Raw genomic sequence first — 18,957 nt, forward strand, 5'->3', positions numbered from 1 at the left:
GAACATTCCTCATTTTGGCTTTGTCTGATGCTTCCTCATGGTTAGATTCATGACACATTCTTGGCTGGAATGCTACATAGGTGATGTGCCCTCCTTAGGGCATCTCGTTTAGAGGCATATGATATCCATCTGCCCTTCACGGTTCATTCAGCTGATCTTCTGTATTTGGACACTTAGGTAGTTCCCAGTGTTTCCAATCACAAATACTATCACAATGAATAACTTTTCATATTGTTGGAGGTATGTTTTCAGGGTAAATTCTCTGAGTTGAAGGGTAAATGAATACGTAGTTTAGTTAGATATTTCCAGCTTTTGCAATTCCCTTCATAGGAATTGTACCATTTTGCATTCCCAACAGCGGTGTGTGAAAAGTGCCTGTTTCTTCATAGAGTTGCCAACAGAGTACATCTTTTCATATGCTTGAGTCATGTTTAATCATTTTATGAATTGCCTATTCATGTCTTTTGCCCACTTTCTATATGATTTTGGGCTTTCTCCCTCAATTTATAAAAGTTGTTTGTTTCTTTAAAATATTGGCTCTAGCTGAGATAAATATTGCAAATATTCTTTCCTAGATTGTCATTTATCTTTGCTTATTTTTTGTCATTTAAAAGTATTTTCTTTTTATGTAGTCAAATTTATCAATCTTTTTCTCATTACATGTTTAGAGAGTTTCTCCCAAAAACCAGGTTATGGACGAATTTACTCATATTTTCCTAAGATACTTCTAGAGTTAAATATATATATTTTTACCTTTGGATCTCTGATCTATTTGGATTTTATTCTTATGTAGCATGTGAGGAATGGATCTCTTTATTTTTAGCCTTTCAAGTCACTGTGTTCAGGTATATCTCTTTTTTACATTGAAGTGTTGGATTTTGTTTATAAGTCAATTTAAAAATATTTTTCACGTAATAGGTGACTTAAGCCATTTATTGAAATCCCCATCAGTTTTTGGTTGGACGAAGTTCATCTTCTGATAGATTCATCAGAAAGGGCACATGTATATAGCATTCCCTGATCCCTGGCACTTTTAAAACTTTTTCTCTTGCCTTTTACCTGAAAGACAACTTGTTTAGATATAATGTCCTTTTTTTTTTTTAACTTTCTTTACATTTCTTGAAAATCCTGCACCATAGTTGCCTTGTGTTGTGGAAGTCTGATGCCAGTCTAGTTCTCTTGCGTTTTCAGTTACTTTATCTTTTTGCTTAGAGGCCCTGAGAATATTTTCCTTATCTTTAAAATCAGATATTATCATTTTACTAGGATATATTTTAGAGTGGATCATTCTGTGTCAATTTTTCCTAGTACCAGGTGGACTTTTTAAATGTGTAGATTCAATTCTTCTTGTATTTCTGGACATTTTTCTTGGATTATCGTTTTAAATATTAGTTCTGTTTCCTTGTTTTGATTTTCTTTTGCATTGTTGCCAATTATATGTATGTTATACCTGCTTTGCCTCTCTTCCATTTCAATCACTTTTTCTTAAACTTCTTTTTGTTTTTGTTTTTTTCTTTATCCTGCTTTCATTCTCTTGGCTTTTTCTTGCTCTTCTTCAGTGTTTTTTATTTGGTTATCCTTTGAATATATTCTTTTTATCCTTTATTCAAAGGATTTTTTTAATTCTTTTTTATTTTTTATTTTTTTATTCTTTTATTCTTTTTTTATTCTTTTATTTGGTTATCCTTTGAGTATATTCTTTTTATCCTTTATTCAAAGGATTTTTTTATTCTTTTTTATTTTTTATTTATTTATTTTTTTATTCTTTTTTTTTCCTTTGAATATATTCTTACCTTGACACATTGAAATTCAGTTTTCAGTTCTGATATAATACTGTCTTGCTATTTTTTCCTGGGATAAATCCTTATTTTATTTCTTCTGGGTTTTTTGTTGGTTTGTTTTGGCTATTTCTCTTTTTAGCTTTTATATTCTTAATTGGGTTGATTTTAATATCCCAGATGCTTGTTTGAAGATATTTAGTTCTGTTTGGAGTGTTATGTTACAATTTTCTTTAGCTTCATATTTAGATTTTTGGAGGATATTTTTTATAAACAGAAGAGCCTTAGTGAACTTGTTCTGTCTTATATAATACTTTTATATGAATGTGGCTGCATTTTCCTATTCCTATTCTTTTCATGGGCAGAGATTGTAGTTCACCATCACTCTCTCCTGTCAGTTCTCATCTCTGCTGTGTAGTTTCTTTTAGAGATGAAGTTGGTGGTGGTAGGTCAGGCTGGGGAGAAGTGTTGAAATTTCTTATGTTTCATTACCACATGGTATCTTATTATTTATTTCCTTCACTTCCTCATGTATTTGATTATAACCTGGAAGCTGTCCTGCTCTGATTCTGCTCTAATTCTGCTCTTTTCAGGCCAATTCTCTGTAGCAAGAGCTGAGAACTATCTGATTGTGATCTCAGTTTAGTATGTTGACATGTATTATTTCACTTTCTCTCTCTGGGAGTGATCTTATCTGTACTTCATCTAAATTCTTTACTACCACCTACTGTTTTTCACAGACTTTTAAGCCTCTCCTCTCCTGTTTGCCATACCCACAGGCTTGCAGTGGCAGGTGGGTAGTCAGGGCTTTGTTGGAGTTTTTAAAAATCTCTTTACAAGTAATTTGAAGGTCATGGGATTCTCTTCCTCTTTATAATACTGAAAGCATGAGTACTAGTGGTGTATTCGCTTTCTTTGTTAATTTTATGTTTTGGTTATGTTGCATTGTGTTTTTCTGGGAGGGTATGGGAGGAGATGTGGAATTGGCTGCCATTTTCCTCAAAACTTAGAACTCTCCATAGGTGTAGGTATCTTTTTATAAATTATGCATGAAATATAGTGAGCTTTTACAATTTTTATGCCTAGATTTTTTTTTACTCCAGAAATTTTTATTTATCCTTTGATAGTTGATTGTTTCAGTTAAAAAAAAAAATCTACAAAGAACTAGAATCTTTGTTCTTCGTATCCACCATCTGCCTCAGGTATCGTATATGCTGCCTTGGGTAATATTTCTCTGGGTTTCTTTTTGTCTCTCTCATACCATCTCTTTGTTATTCAGTTTTATTTTTTAGGTTTCCTTGACTCTTTCCAATTACCCTATTGAATTTTTTCATCTTGGCTCTCATATTTTTATGAGGCCTTTTATTTTGTTTCCTACCCATTCCTTTGTCAAAACATCCTGATTCCATTTTATACATGCAATATCTTCTTTAATTTCTTTGAGAATATCATAGTTTTTGTGTTTTAATTCTTTCCTGCTTCCTACATTAACCCTTCCTTTTGAGATCATGTTTCCTGTCTGCTTATCATGAATTCTCTTTTTTATATTTTTTTATTGATCCTAGGTTGCTCATTCATATTTAAGAGTAAGGTTCAGCCAGGCATGGTGGTTCACACCTGCAATCCCAGCACTTTGGGAGGCTGAGGTGGGTGGATCGCTTGAGCCCAGGAGTTTGAGGCCAGCCTGGGTGACATGGAGAGACCCACCTATTAAAAAAAGAAAAAAAAAAGAAGAAGAAGATTCTAAAATTAGATCAGGAGCTTCGTATGTTTTTGTATGTGTGGGTAGGGTTGTGTTTTAGGATGATCAGCCAGGAAGGCAGTTGTTACACTGGGAATTCATCAAAACCCTGAATGTGAAGGTCTTTTGGGGGGCAAGGGGTAGTGGGTGGATATTTAATTTCCAAAAGTGAAACCTTTTATTTGTTAGCTTCAGAAGCACAAATGCTTAGGTAACAGCATTCTGTGTAATAGGCCAGGGACATTGATTCCTTAATTTATTTATCTTTAAAAAATCCATTTGTTTTCAGCCTTAAATTTCACTTGCACTTTTGCCACACCAAAGTATCCGGTTCCTAGGGCTCTGAGGAGTCCTGAAGGACCAGCTACCACTCCCTGTGATCCAGATACCCCCAGTGAGCACTATGCTGCCTCCTCCTCCACCTTATATATGTCATTCCTCACTTCTCCACTGGCTTTCTGCCTTATTGTTGAAATTTTTGTTGAAATCACTCATCGGCAGATAGCTACTCTCTAGTCTCTTTGACATTGTAGATTAATATATTTTTTAATCTTTCATTATCCTTGCATTTTGATGGTGTCTCAAGAGGGAGAAGATTTTCTCTTTTTGCTATGGACTTAACCTTTCAATTTATTAATTTTTCTCAACTGCAAAATGATCATTTCTAAGGTCACCTATCATTTTTAAATCCTGTTATACATCTCTCCCCTACTTGTGGGTTCACCTTAAATCCCAAAACTCATGACTTTCATGAGTTTTCAGCATGTTTCCTGAGACTTGATCTTAGTGAAAATTTAACTTTTTTTCTCTAAAGGGGCTGATTTGTTTTAACCTGATAAATGATCTCCTTAGAGTTGCTTTGGAAAAGCATTAACACATTATTATTATTATTATTATTATTATTATTATTATTATTATTTTGAGATGGAGTCTCACTCTGTTGCCCAGCTGGAGTGCAGTGGCATGATCTCAGCTCACTGCAACCTCCACCTCCCAGGTTCAAGCGATTCTGCTGCCTCAGCCTCTCGAGTAGCTGGGACTACAAACGCCCGCCACCACGCCTGGCTAATTTTTGTATTTTTAGTAGAGACGGGGTTTCACCATGTTGACCAGGCTGATCTGGAACCCCTGACCTCAGGTGATCCGCCCACCTCGGCCTCCCAAAGTGCTAGGATTACAGGCATGAGCCACCGTGCCCGGCCAGCATGAACAATTATTAAATAAACTACCCTCTGTCTCTCACCTGGGCCAGCCTGCATGTAGTTGCTCACGTGGCACATTGCTTGAAAGCAACTCAGTATGGGCAGGTAGGAGTGTTTGCCCTTGCGACTTGCAGTTTAGGCCTCATGTCCAAAATGACTCAGGTTTTCTCCGTCCATCACATCTCAATATTTGCACAACACCTCTCTCCATTTTTGGTTCTATGAGTCTTATATACTCGAGTTTGGGCTGTTCTGGACAATGACTACCCATCCTGTTGAAATTTCCTTTGGCACTTTTCCAAAGTGAGTTTCGACCATGCCACTAATTCTATATGAAAGTCAGATAACTCCAAGTTTGGTGAAGACCTGTCCAGATATTTTGCGTGATGCAGATTGAATTTTTATTTTTGTTTTGCTTTACTTTCGGTTATGTTGATCGATACCGTTTAAAACCAAGTTAAAGTAGCACAGTGTATGTCTACATCAGATGATTTTCTTCATGATTCAGTAATACTGAGAATAAAAATAGCCAACACAGAAAGTTCTTTCTATATATGCCAGGCGCTGGTCTAGGGAATTTGCATTAATTTATTCCTTTCATCCTCACACAGCCACGTGGGATAGTTACTATTATAATCTTCATTGTAAAGATAAGGAAAGTGGAACCAGGGTGCAAACCCAGATTGTCTGACTCCAGAAGGAATTTTTTGTGGAAACTTTTTCTTTTGGAAATGGTCCAGAAAATACCTAGTCCTTGGAAGAGAGATAAACCTTGGAGTTACTGGGGTGGGGAAACATGAAGAAGATGAATAGCTCATCTAGAAATGAGAAGATGAAGCAGTTCATTGGGATTCGTAAGAGTCTTGTAGGAAGAACCAGCTAGAGGAAACCATGAGAACGGATATCTGAGGAGACGGGGCCTTCTTACTGTTAGAAGCTCTACGGTGGCACAGACGTGTCCACATTCCTCTATGTCCTATATTAAATAGCACCTTTACATGTACAACTTTTTTTTTTTTTTAAACAGGGTCTCACTCTGTCATCAAGGCTGGAGTGCAGTGGTGTGATCTTGGCTCACTGCAGCCTCCAGCTCCCAGGCTCAAGCAATTCTCCTGCCTCAGTCTCCCAAGTAGCTGCGACTACAGGTGTGAATCACCACTCCCAGCTAATTTTTATATTTTTAGTAGAGACGGGGTTTCACCATGTTGGCCAGGCTGGTCTCGAACTCCTGGGCTCAAGTGATCCACCTGCCATTTGAAAAGAATTTTATACTTCCATTCACTCCTGTACTCCCCATTTGGCAGGTGTTTATTGAGCACTGTGTGGAGGACACGGTCTGGTGAGAGGGAGGAGTTGGTGAGGAGAACTTCCCTGCCCAGGGAGCCAGCCTGGAGCAGTGAGCCCAAGAAGTGGACACAGGCTGGATGGCGGTGTGGGCTACTCAAGGAAGGAAAGCAGACCAGGGTTTGGCAGATGTGGAATCCCAAAGAAGGGGTAGGGAAAGTCACAGCTTGCAGTGGGGTGGTCGGTGTCAGCCTTGTGGAGAAGGCTAGATGTGGACCCACTCTGTCTAGGGGAAGGGGGTTCCCAGCAGAGGGAATCACTAAGGCAGGAGCATGCATAGCTTGTGGGAAAACAGCAGGGAGGCCCACACGGCTGGCACAAGAGAGGGGTAAGGGAGCCTGAGACCCCTCAGGACCCAAAGGAGGCCAGCCTTGTAGGCTGTCTGGGGCCTTGGCTTTTATCCTGAGTGACATAGAAAAGCATCACAGGGTTTGACATGGTCTGACTTCATCCATGTCTCTGCATAAGGACATGATCTCATTCTTTTTCATGGCTGCATAGTATTCCATGGTGTATATGTACCGCATTTTCTTTATCCAGTCTATCATTGATGGGCATTTAGGTTGATTCCATGTCTTTGCTATTGTGACTAAGCACTGAAATTTTTATCTTATCCTGGGCACTGACTGTAGAGTAAAGGTGGCGAAGGTGCCCACAGTAGTCTCGGAGGTTTAGGTTCTCCTCTCTTGAGGATGACATATCCTGTTTTTCAGTGTGTGTCTGTGGCGATACCTTTGCGTTTTCTTTATTTTTATATTCTACCTTTTCTCTTTCTTCTGGTCTGAGTGTTGCCTTTCAGATGGAGTGCTGGGAGATGCTGACTTTTAAACTCTTCTTTTAGAATCAAGATTTACTGGCACAGTCCTCTCACCGAAGGCTAGGAAAGCCATTGTAACTTAATATAGCCTATTACCCTAAATCTGTGTGTATCCCGTGTCTATTTAAATTTGTTAGAGGGCAAGATATTGTTAAAGCTGCTGCTAGGAGATTTAACTTGGTGCAGTCATGGGCCTGGCAGGTGGGGCAGGGAGACAGATGGGTAAACCGACGGAGCTAGCTGGTAGTGTTCTAGGTACCATAGTGCCATCAGTTCTGTAGAGCAATGAGAGAGAATATGGTCAGCTGGCATCCCTGCCCCAAATGGGCCTTGCACAGATCTGAGGGCCCAGAAAACTGGCACCCAACTGCTGGTGACATCAGCTATTCCTTTGATGTAGACTAAAACGTTTTCATTCACAGTCTTAGAATGAAAATAGCTGGGGGATGAGCACTGACCAATAGGCTGTCAGCTCCCCGAGGGCAGGGGTGGGGCACAGTGCAGCCTCCAGAGCATCACCTGCAGCCCGGTACCCAGAAAGCGTTTAATACGTGTTTGCTGATGAAATAGATATGGGGGTTCCCCCCTTAGGAGCAAGTTTTGTAAGGAGGTAAAGGGAAAGAGCCTGGAGTGTCAGAGTCACCACTTTCTTAAAACAAAATCAAGAACCAAGAATCAGAATCCCAAATCCAGAATCAAAGTTTAGAAGCTGAAAGAGAACCTTTTTGCCAAGAGGGATGGCTGAGCTCTGTTCACAAGGGTTTCGACTTCTTCTAGGGTTCTTTTGCTTCATTTAGCTCTGCTGCTGTTCCCGGCCCCAGAGATGTGCTACCCACACTTGAAGATTCTTGCTCAAGCCCGGATGCTGTTGCTGTCACATTCCCTTTAATCTAGCTTGGATGGACCAAGGCTCTCAACACTGCTCTAACAGGTGGACCAGATGGAAAATAAAACATAGCATATATGAGCATTCAAACAGCCCTGCTTTCAAAGGCTGAGCTAATTACCTTCCAGCTGTAAAGGCCTACCATAAATGAGGTCACCCTGTCTGAGTTCCTGAGTTCCCAAGTCCCAGTCATTGGCTTGTCCTCAGATAGATGGATACTCATCCATTAAGGTCGAGGCCTAGAGACTCTCTTTCTCTCTGAGGCTCTCCTTCCAAATTCCAGCTTTAAATTTGAGAGATGAGCTTCCCTTGATGGCTGACCTCCACCCAATCACTTCCTCCAGTTGAGCTCTCCGCCCTGCTATGTGGTGAAGGGCCTCGAGGCCAGCACAAGATGAACACGCCTATACCACAGCACCAGAGTAGTACTATATGACGACAGGTGCATATCACATACAGCCGCAGGAGGGCTACCCATCACAATTCCTGGTGTCACATGCAGAGCCCAGCACATTCAGAAGTAGAGAGGAAAGAAACATCATGTAAAATCTTAGGGAGAGAAAGCTGGGGCCACCCAAGAGAGTAAAGGTTGCCTGCTTTGCAGCTCTGCCCGAGGCATCGTCTGCACGTATTATATGGTGCTGGTAATCTGAGGTATCATTGAGAGGCTGTGTCTTTAAAGGGGTCACAGGAATCTCAAAAACAAGAAGCAAATCCATTTTAATTGAGTTATCGTGGGGGAGTAGCCTGCCTGCCAGCACTCCAAGCTCTGTGTGTCCCGTATCCCAAGTCAGGGTTACCCTCCTAGGAAGGGAGGAGCCCTGTCTATGGAGCAGGCGGGTCCAGTTCCTTTCTTTTTTGCATGTAAAACTCTCAAAACCAAGGCTGGCTCTTCACAGGTCCCTCCCTCAGTCTGTTGTCTGTTTTCCCAGGCCTTTATGGAGCTGTCGTTGGTTCACAGATGCCAAGCAGTTACATGGTTAATCCTCCCTCCGCCAACCCCCCCTTCAGCACCACGCCCTCCTTCCTAATGGGCCTGAACTTGCCATTGTCCAAACATGAGTGACTGAACTGAAAACTCAACTTTCTGATTTAACACACAGAGTGGTTTGTTTTTTTTTTTTAAGGAAATGTATTAGATTTTGGCTGGGTTTTAGTTTGTCATTATACCTGCGTGTAATGTTCTTCTGTTTCTTTTTTTTTCTTTTCTTTTCTTTTTTTTTTTTTGAGACAAAGTCTTGCTCTGTCGCCCAGGCTGGAGTGCAGTGGCGCAATCTCAGCTCACTGCAAGCTCTACCTCCCGGGTTCACGCCATTCTCCTGCCTCAGCCTCCTGAGTAGCTGGGACTACAGGTGTCCGCCACCTTGCCTGGCTAATTTTTTGTATTTTTTTAGTAGAGACAGGGTTTCACTGTGGTCTCGATCTCCTGACCTCGTGATCCACCCACATCAGCCTCCCAAAGTGCTGGGATTACAGGCGTGAGCCACTGCGCCCAGCCTGTTCTGTTAATATTGCTTCTCACTCCCATAACTTTGGTTCAAAATACCATGTTCAAAAATACCTTAGTTATGCATATTTTGGATTCTAATATTTCAAATAGACATGGACAATTCATTTGAGATAAGTTGGGAATTTTCTCTTGGCCAGTTAAGATATTGAGGAGAAAATAACTTGATATAAAAAGTACTTTTCTGGATTTTTCTTTCCTTTTTTTTAATTTAAAGAAGGATGACTTGGGATGTACTTGAAGCTTCTTGAGAGTTTGAGAATATCTTAAGATAGATCCTGGTTTTCTCATAGTCTGGTACTTGTATCTTTCACTACTTCCTGTCTTAATGTTATTCTACGTGGGAATAAATGCCAACATGGCGTCAAGCAATGAGCTGAGTTTAACACAAAATGTTAGAGGTAACCTCCTTGTTCTTTATCAAAAGATAAGAGAAGAAGAGAGATCCAGAATTTAAAATTTTCCCCTTTTCCTCCATTGGAACAGCAGCTCTTCTCTGAAAACACCTCAATACCAAAGATTCTTCTTAATCACACACATCTTTTAATTAATGTGATTTTATTCTAAAGAAAGCAAATGTCTTTGACTTTCAGTTCAATTTCTAAAAGGGGAAACCATGTACTTGGTCCCTCTGTGGGGCTCTTTGCCATTTTAATCTTTTATTTTCTCCCAAATTATGAATGTTCCTCAGTGAGTCTTGATAATAATTTCTAAATTAGCCTTGTCTGAACTTGTGTTTGATAATCTTAGGTATTTAATTATAAGTGTCATAGATTCCTAGCATTTCCAGTCCAGGTGTCAGATTAAAAAAGACAGTTTGACATCCTCATTGTGCAGGTCATTTTCATCATTTTCCATGCCAGGAGCAAGGTAATTAATATTGCTCTCTCACTGCAGGGACAGAGTAGTAAGTTTCTAAATGTTACACTTTACCTATATGGATAGTGATGCACATTCTGCTTGCAATTTCTAATGCGATGCCCGAAAGAATGCTATAGATGGAAAGCCATACCGTGGAAGACAACGGGCCAATTCTCACAAGCAGCAGGGTAGCTAATGTCTGCTGCATTGTTTATTTTACACAATTTTTGAAAAGTGAACAGAAACCATGATTTTAAATTTAATTAAGAAAGATTATGTTGGGGGGAGGCAAATCAGATAATCACATGCACAAAGGGTTTAAAGGAGAATTGTTTGGACCTAAAGTCCTATTTTGTTGTTGATTTTCATCTTCCGACAAATTGCTTCCCAAGGCTCTGAGTTGATTTAAAGTCAACAGGAGTTCTGAATGGGGTATGAAAATAAACAAGAATGGGGAAAAATGGGAGATTTCTGGATACTGATTCTGAAGATATTTCACAGTTAACATTTTTCACTGCTTCCCATATATTTAGCCCTTTCCAGGGGATCAAAATGCTCATACCCCATCCCATTTTCCAGTTAGAATTTCACCTGAGAATTTAAATGCACGATCAGTAGCTTGCTTGGTGAGCAAAGATTTCAGCACAAGAAGTGACTCCCTGCTGACAGTGGCCTGTGAGCCTCTCCTGGCTGGATTTGTGTCTGTCAATCCCTTGTCTCTCTGCATGGGTTGTGCCCCATCAATCTTGCCAATCCCTGATTATTTGGCCTTACCTCTTTTCTGAGTTCTGGACTCATTGAGCAAGTCATACACATAAAAATATTTACTGAGCACCTGCTTGCCACAGGCCTTGGTCGACAATCTTTCTCCAGTCAAGGCATTGTACAAGTGATACCTGTTCCTTTGTTAAATCACATCCAAGTCCCTGTCTTCCTGAGATTGCCCCATATTGATTTTAATTGGATTACAGACATTTTCAAAGTCATCTTAGTTTGTTGAGAGACAGCTTACATGGCATGTACATACCCTTGAAACTGGAAAAAATAAATCACATTTCTCTTTTGGAGATTTGCAAAGGAAGACAAAGCCCAATGAACACTGGTAGAACAGAAAACAGTTTCCAAAATCCTTAACTGTTATTGCCCCTTTCTCTTTTCATGGAATTGTATAATTACTATCATTTTATGTTATAGAAAAGTTTCTAGTCTATCACATTTCATACTGTAGAAAAACATCATTGAATGGTGCACTTTGATGGAATTTGAAATAACTAGTTGTTAGTTTTCTGATCAATGACATTTAGAATTGTTTACTATGTGCTAAGAGAAATCAATGGTCAGCTTTGAAATATCCCAAATCAACGTTCTTAAATAGAGAAATACATGGCGCCTGAATGTTTCAAACTTGCACTAGGGGCCAACAGCCTCAGAAGCATCTTAGACACCTCCCCCAACCATCATCAAAAAAAAAAAAAAAAAAAAAGGCATGTATTGCAATTCTCAGATAACCAGTTTGCTTTAGATACATGCAAGCTGCCTTTGGTGCCTGCCACAGCTGCAGGTCTTTCTTGGGAGTTCCATGCGGTGGAGGAAAGGCAGATCCTGTAGGCCATCGGTGGCTAAACAGAGGCATAAGGCAGAGTTGGCGATTCAGCCACAGCCCTGGAATGACAGTGTCCCCATATGGCAAATCCCTCGCATAGAAGGCCATGGGAAATCCCAACCAGGGACCCATGATGGCAGCTCTAGAACTGCGTTGCTCTCTGACCTCTCTGCTAGGGCCAAGACTGGCCAAGCTGCTACCTACTGTGCCCTGGTCTGTGCAGGTCCCCTATACATTCCCACCCGAAACTTCCAACACTGAGCTAAGCTGAGCTTGCTGTGCTCCCCTCAGTGTGAAAAAGCTTATCTCCCACCACGTGTCAGGAGCTTCGGGGAACCAGGGCTGTGTGGGGATGGCTCTGCCTGTGCCGAGCCCCGTGCCTGTCACTGAGACATTTGAGGGTCCGTTTCTTGCCGATGAGGCAGTTTTTTAAAAGGCTCTCCATCTGGGGACGACTCATCCTGTGTGAGGCAGGTGCTTAAGCACTTGACGTGCTTGTGAATTTCAATAGTTGCAGCAGCCCCAGGGGGTGGGAGGCGTTATTGGCATTTCACAGGTGAGGAAACCGAGGCACAGAGAGCTCCGTGACTTGCCCAGGGTCACTCGCGAGTGAGTGGCTGAGGCAGATTCTGCATTCTAATCTGATTAAATCCAGAGCCCACATTTTTAAGCACACTGCTCTGCAGCTCCGGGGTCTTTTATCACTTTGTTTATCGTGAGTATTGATACAGGAGACTCCTAAAGTGATCCATGGATTGAGGCTGTCAAACATGAACCCAGAACACGTTGTGTTTTCAATAGGGTGTCATTCTTTATACACAAAGACAACAGACTCTTAATTCTGCCAGTGCCGCACACTGTGAGCTTTTTAAAAAAACAGCAACAACAAAAAACAGCAGTGGGATAATTCTGCTTATTCCTCTGTGTTCTGAATGGGTCACCCTTGTCTTACACCCAACAGCTCATATTTTGCAATGCCTGGTATTTAAAGAGTAGCTTCATTAAATAAAAATGTGAAGTGCGTGGCCTAAGGGGTTTAGGAAGAGTAGAAAAGGAAAATAAAGCTGGGCACTGTGGCTCACACCTGTAATCCCAGCACTTTGGGAGGCTGAGGTGGGCGGATCACCTGAGGTCAGGAGTTCAAGACCAGCCTGGCCGACATGGTGAAACCCTGTCTCTACTAAAGATACAAAAAATTTAGCTGGATGTGGTGGTGGGCGCCTGTAGTCCCAGTTACTTGGGAGGCTGAGGCATGAGAATCGCTTGAACCCAGGAGGCGGAGGTTGCAGTGAGCTGAGACCATACCTACTGCACTCCAGCCTGGGCAACAAGAACAAAACTCCGTCTCAAAAAAAAAAAAAGAAGAAGAAAAGGAAAGGAAAATTTCTCACGCATCCAGTGCATATATTTTCTATTCCAAACAGTAAGTGTAATTCATCAATTTATGGGTGGGAGAATGGTTTGATAAAGATGGACAGCGAGTCACTGAGTCGCCCGTGACGATGTGGTCTGTGCTTCTGTGTGTATGCTGTGATGTATTCATTCATAGCAGCCCTCACATCCAGTTCCCATGGGGTGCTGGGTTCTCAGGAAATGCATGTGAGGATGGAAGACACGGGACTAGAATGCACATGACTTTCAGGGGAAAATTGTTAGTTTTACAGTAGATGGAGAAGGAAATTTGCTTTTCATTTGACATCTTACTTTTCTTCTTTTCTTTTTTAAACTAAATCATTATAATCTTATTACAAGGGTAATATGTCTTCAATTTAGATAAGTTGAAAAAATATAGAAAGCCCCAAACTTATACAGAAATACAAATCTTGATTTTATTCTTGGTCCCTTTATCTGAAGGTTACGTAAGTCATTTTCAGAAAGACAGAATGCTCGAGTCTAAATCTCGCCCTCTCAACACTCACCTCCCTCGAGGAAGCTGAAGTCTCGGTCTCCGTCCGCGCCCCCACACACTGCCTTGCCAAGGGGCAGCAGAGCTTGCGTGGAGCCCCCTCCTCTCTCCTTTGGCAGGGTCTCTTGGTTTCAAGTATTGCCTCTTGACTCCAAAATCTGGATTTTCAATCCTGACCTTCCATGTAATTAATCTTCGGCTGAAAATTTCATGCTCATCCCTACTTTTCACTCCCCTTTAGATCACACTAATGCAGATCTTGTTACCAAATGCCAACACTGTTAGAACATCTCTTAATTCGTCTCCCTGACTCTAGTGCCTCTCCTTCTAATCCGTTCTTCATACTGGGACTAGTTTAATTGTTTTAAATCCCCTCATGTTCTCTGATGCCTATAGGGTAGTGTGCTAACATTTTAACCTGGAAATAAAAATGCTCTGCTGTCTTGCCTTTATTTACCTGTTCAGTTTCTCTTTCCGATTATAGTCCTGATACGGCAGAAGCATTTAGTATTTACTGAATATCCACGTGCTCCCCTGCATTTCCTGGCCTCCCTTACTGGCAGACTGGGCTAGGATGACTGAGTTCTGACTAAAGGGATTTGGGTAGAAGTAAGGTTTGTCACTTCTAGGCCTGGACATAAAAGCTCCTACATGGCTTTTCAGTCCTCTCTTCACATTTCATGGTGTCTTCGGAGGTCATGTGCACTTTCTAAGCACATTCAGAAAGTGCAGCTATAAATAGTGAAGCCTCCATCAGCCTGGGTCCCTGAATGACCTTGCGGAGTATACAAACCCCTGTTGACCCATGGTGGATGTGTAATGAGTAAGAAATAATTTTGTTTTTGTATTAAGCCTTTGAGATTTTATGCTTAATTTGTTACTATAGCATAGTCTGTGCTATCCTGGCAGACCCCACAGGAATGCATCTTAAGTACCTCGGAATTGAGCCATAGGCCTAATCTATTACTTCTGACTAAGAAGAGAGAGTTGAGACCTAGTCCCAGAACTTCAGTTCTAGAATGACCAATTCAATGATCCCCAGATTTTGAGATTTCATCAACTGGGAACAGTCAAAATAAAAACTAAGAGTTTGACAGGAGTTACCAAATGATAATTTTGCCAAGAAAAGGCATTTGAAAAAATCCTGTCATCTACTGTTACAACCATTTCGTTAAAAAGGACGTATAATGTCACATACCTCCTCCCAGCAGGGAGAACATACACTGTCAAAATTAAGGGTGAATTTTGTCATTGAATAAATTTTGCATCATAAAAAATGAAACTCTTAACAATATTGTTCTAACTTTCTCACTTCAGTATTTCCCAGTAAACACTTAGTGACGGAAGTGCTGCGGTGGGGACCAGCGTTCGCAAAGTGCAGAAGACACGGTTCCCCAAGTGAAGCTTGAAGACCTAGAAAGACCTGAGTCAGGTTTTCCACTGAGATGTGAACCAGCTCCTGGGGGCCCCTGGGGTGCTGCCTTGTTGACCGCAGGCCTTTAAGATCTTTGTGTACCGCTGAGACCTCTTGATTCTAAGGTAAGGGGTAGGAAAACTCTTGAGCACTTACACCAAAATGTGTAGGGGGCGGGGGTGTGCGGGCTCACGGGGGTTTACACATAGCTAATAGGTGTCAGGGGCAGGACTGGATTGAACCTCAGCCCCACTCCACCATCTCGGTGCCATTCCACTCTCGAGAGATTGAAGACTCAGAGCTGCAGGGAAACCAAACAGAGCTACCCAAGGTTCCTGGAATGGATTCTGCCAGGGTCCTCATTTGGTGACTGTGTTGCTCTCCCCAGGCCCTGGGTGCTGCCTCAACCTGCTTAGGTCCTTCCAGGCTCAGCCCTGGGGGTCTCTTCTCCTGGGAATGTCCCCTAACCCCCATGCAAAGGCTCAATTCTTTCCCCTCATGCTCTCACAGCATCCTGCATATACAGTTGACCCTTTAACAAGACAGGGGTAGGGGTCCAACCCCTTGTGCGGTCAAAAATCCATGTATAACTTTTGACTCCACAAAACCTTAACTACTAATAGCCTACTGTTGACCGGAAGTCTTACCAATAACATAAACAGTTGATTAACACATACTTTGTGTTATATTTATTATATTCTCTATTCTTACAAGAAAGAAAACTGGAGAAAAAAAGTTATTAACAAAATTACAAGAAAGCCTGGTTGTGGTGGCTCACACCTGTAATCCCAGCACTTTGGGAGGCCAAGGTGGGCAGATCACTTGAGCCCAGGAGTTTAAGACCAGCCTGGGCAACATAGCAAGACCTCACCTCTACAAAAAATACACATAAACAATTAGTCAGGCGTGGTGGCAGGCATCTGTAGCTCCAGCTACTCGGAATGCTGAGGTGGGAGGATCACCAGAGCCCGGGAGGTGAAGGCTGCAGTGAGCTGTGACTGCACCACTGCACTCCAGCCTGAGTGGCAGAGCAAGACTCTGTGTCTATTTTTAAAATACAGAAAAAGAGAAAGAAAATCCCAAGAATGAGAAAATATATTTACAATTCAGGTGAATTATAAATACAGTTGTCCCTCAGTATCCAAGGGGGATTAGTTCCAGGACTCCCATGGGTACCAAAATCTGAGGATGCTCAAGTCCCTGATACGAAAAGGTGCAATACTTGTACCTACTCACATCCTTCTATACACACACACTTTACATCATCTCTAGATTACTTATAATACCCATTACAATGCAAATGCTATGTAAAGAGTTGTTATCGTGTATTGTTTAGGGACTAATGACAAGGGGAAAAAAGTCTGGACGTGTTCAGATGCAATTTTCTTTTCAAATATTTTCAGTCCGCCATTGGTTGAATCCATGCATGGGAAACCCACAGATATGGAGGGTGAACTGCTCCTCTAGCGAGTTTTGTACATTAAGTGGCAGACTCAGGTTCTGCCGTGATTTGGCTTCTGTTGCCTTTCAGCATTGTTGAAAGAGCAAAAGATTTTCGATTTCCTCTTCTTGCCCTGAACATGGGAATCATGACTTTCTCTTCCCCATTGCACCTTCCAAGACTGGGACTTGGAAGGAGGGACAGAAGCGGGAGCTCTGAGTTAGGCCATCGGGGCCCTTGCTGGGAAGCTTTGCCTTGCGTAGGCTTCATGAGGGATGGCCTACTCGCTCCTCTGAGTGGAAAGAAATCTGAGAAGGGGCAAGTCTCAGGATTAGCGCCTCACCCTGGGCTGGCCCCATGTGTGGAGGAGGTGACCAGCTGTGTGGGGCAGGGGGGAAAAAGACCTCACAGCCCTGCCTCAAAGCTCCCTCCTCCCGCATTCTAGTGAGATCTTTCAGGCATTAGTTCCCTGCCCAGGGGCAGTTAACGCATCACCACTCAGCATCACCTGTCCAGGAAAGGGCATTGCAGAGCAGAGAGGGAGGAACAGCCATCTGCCATCTGTGGAGCACCCAAGGCCTCTGCCTAAGCCCTCTCCATAGCAGAGGACTTCCTGAGCCCTGGTGAGAGGCAGGGAAGGCTGGGCTGGGAGAGAACGCTTCTGGAGAGATGGCTGGAAAGGAAAGAAGAGCCCCCAAAACCAGGCACAAGATTAAATTTGCTCCCAGCACATCCTTCTGAAAACTGCCGTATCCCAGGGCCCTGTTATCATGGCCTAAGTATGTCAGGAAATCCTTGAAACAGCTCCATGTTGCACTTAAAACCTTACACATTGCATTGCCTGTCTTCCCTGCTGGGTTTACATGAAACCAGAACACCTGGTCAGTTTAGTCCAGCAGATAAAATTTGCATCCATGACCCTGGCCCGTTCTCTCCTCTCTCTTCCTGCTCACACTCACTCACGCAACGGTCCACTGAAAGTCTTGCTTGAGAACCCTTGGATTTTCTCCCTGGTAGGGTCTTTTAATGCCCACCCTGCCCCTCTCCACAGTTTATAGACAAAGACGGTAACAACCACGAAATTCAAGTCGCTGGTTGGAGGTCCCACACCTCTGAAGGACTCAGGCCTGGGAAATTAAGGAGCCCTGGTCCTCTCCCATCACTGACGGATGTCCAGTTCCAAATATGTTGTCCTGGAGCCAGACCCCTTTTTTGACTAATAACTGTGTCCTGACTCTTTTTTTTTCCAAATGAAAATGACTATGATTTTATTTGTTCATTAACAGTTTTACAATACTGCCCAGTTGACATCCAGAATCCTGGCAGAGGAAAAAAAGCAGGTAGACAAAAAGCATCACGTTTTCATTTTTTATCATCATTAAATGACCTCAAAATTATTTTATATTTAAGTTACTAAATTATTTTCTTGTCGTTAATTATGATTTGCAGAGGTAGAACTCACATAGCATAAAATTAACCATAAAATTAAAGTAGACCATTCAGTGGCATTTAGCAATTCACAGTGTTGCGCAACCATCACCTCTCTCTAGTTTGAAAACATTTTCATTCCCCAAAAGGAGACCCACTAACCATGAAGCAGTCTCTCTTCATTCCCCTCGCCACGGCCCCTGCGTTTTGTGTCCTTTGGATTCCCCTATTTCAGATACTTCATAAGAATGGAATCATACAGCGTGTGACCTTCGTGTCTGGCTTCTCTGATAATTATCTTCATGTACTGTTTGGTACATTAGTAAGTAGACGAAGTGGAAACCAGTAAACCTAGTAAGATTATTAACCATTCCCTCCTTAGCCCCGTGTGCAGGGTATGGCGGGACCTTATTTATTCTTGGCATCTCCCTTCACCTTGGCAAAATAGTACCAGTGCCTGGTATGTGCTTTATTATTATTACTATTATTATTATTAATGGACTTTATTTTTAGCAGAGATTTAGGAAAATTAAGCAGATAGTACATAGAGTTCCCATATAGTCTCCATGGTCTTCACAATTTCCCTTTTTATTAACATTACATTCGAGTGGTACATTTGTCGTAATTAAGGAACCAGTGCTGATACATTATTACTAACTAAAGTCTAGTTTATTCACATTTCCTGAGTTTTTTCCTAATGTCCTTTTGCGGTCCTAGAATCTCATCCAGGACACGGGATTCCACGGAGTTGTCACGTCTGTCAAGCTCCGCCTGTGCCAGTTTCTCCGACATTCCTTGTTTTTGATGGTACATTGACGGTTTTAAGGAGCGCTGCTCAGGTGTATTGTAGGATGCTCCGTGACTGGACTGTGATGCATTTCTTATGATTAAACAGGGGTTATGGGTCTTTGAAAGAAAAGTCACAGAGGTAAAGTGGTATTTTCATCAGACCCCATCAGGGGCACATAGCAACATAACTTATGACTGTTGATACTAACCTTGATCACTGGCTTAGTAGTGTTTGTCAGG

The 18,957-nt window shown here is 41.9% G+C and overlaps 1 long non-coding RNA gene across 1 annotated transcript in view; it reads left to right on the plus strand.

The window, feature by feature from the left end:
• Window positions 1–17,905, plus strand: part of LOC107986330 (uncharacterized) — a 31,852-nt gene extending 13,947 nt beyond the window's left edge. The window contains exons 2-3 of the long non-coding RNA XR_002959824.2: window positions 14,963–15,184; window positions 17,787–17,905. This is a non-coding gene — a long non-coding RNA (uncharacterized LOC107986330). The remainder of the gene's footprint in view (window positions 1–14,962; window positions 15,185–17,786) is intronic.
• The last annotated feature ends 1,052 nt before the right edge of the window (window positions 17,906–18,957 follow it).

The sequence above is a fragment of the Homo sapiens genome, chromosome 4 (assembly GCF_000001405.40).
Source record: "Homo sapiens chromosome 4, GRCh38.p14 Primary Assembly".
Lineage (NCBI taxonomy): Eukaryota > Metazoa > Chordata > Mammalia > Primates > Hominidae > Homo > Homo sapiens.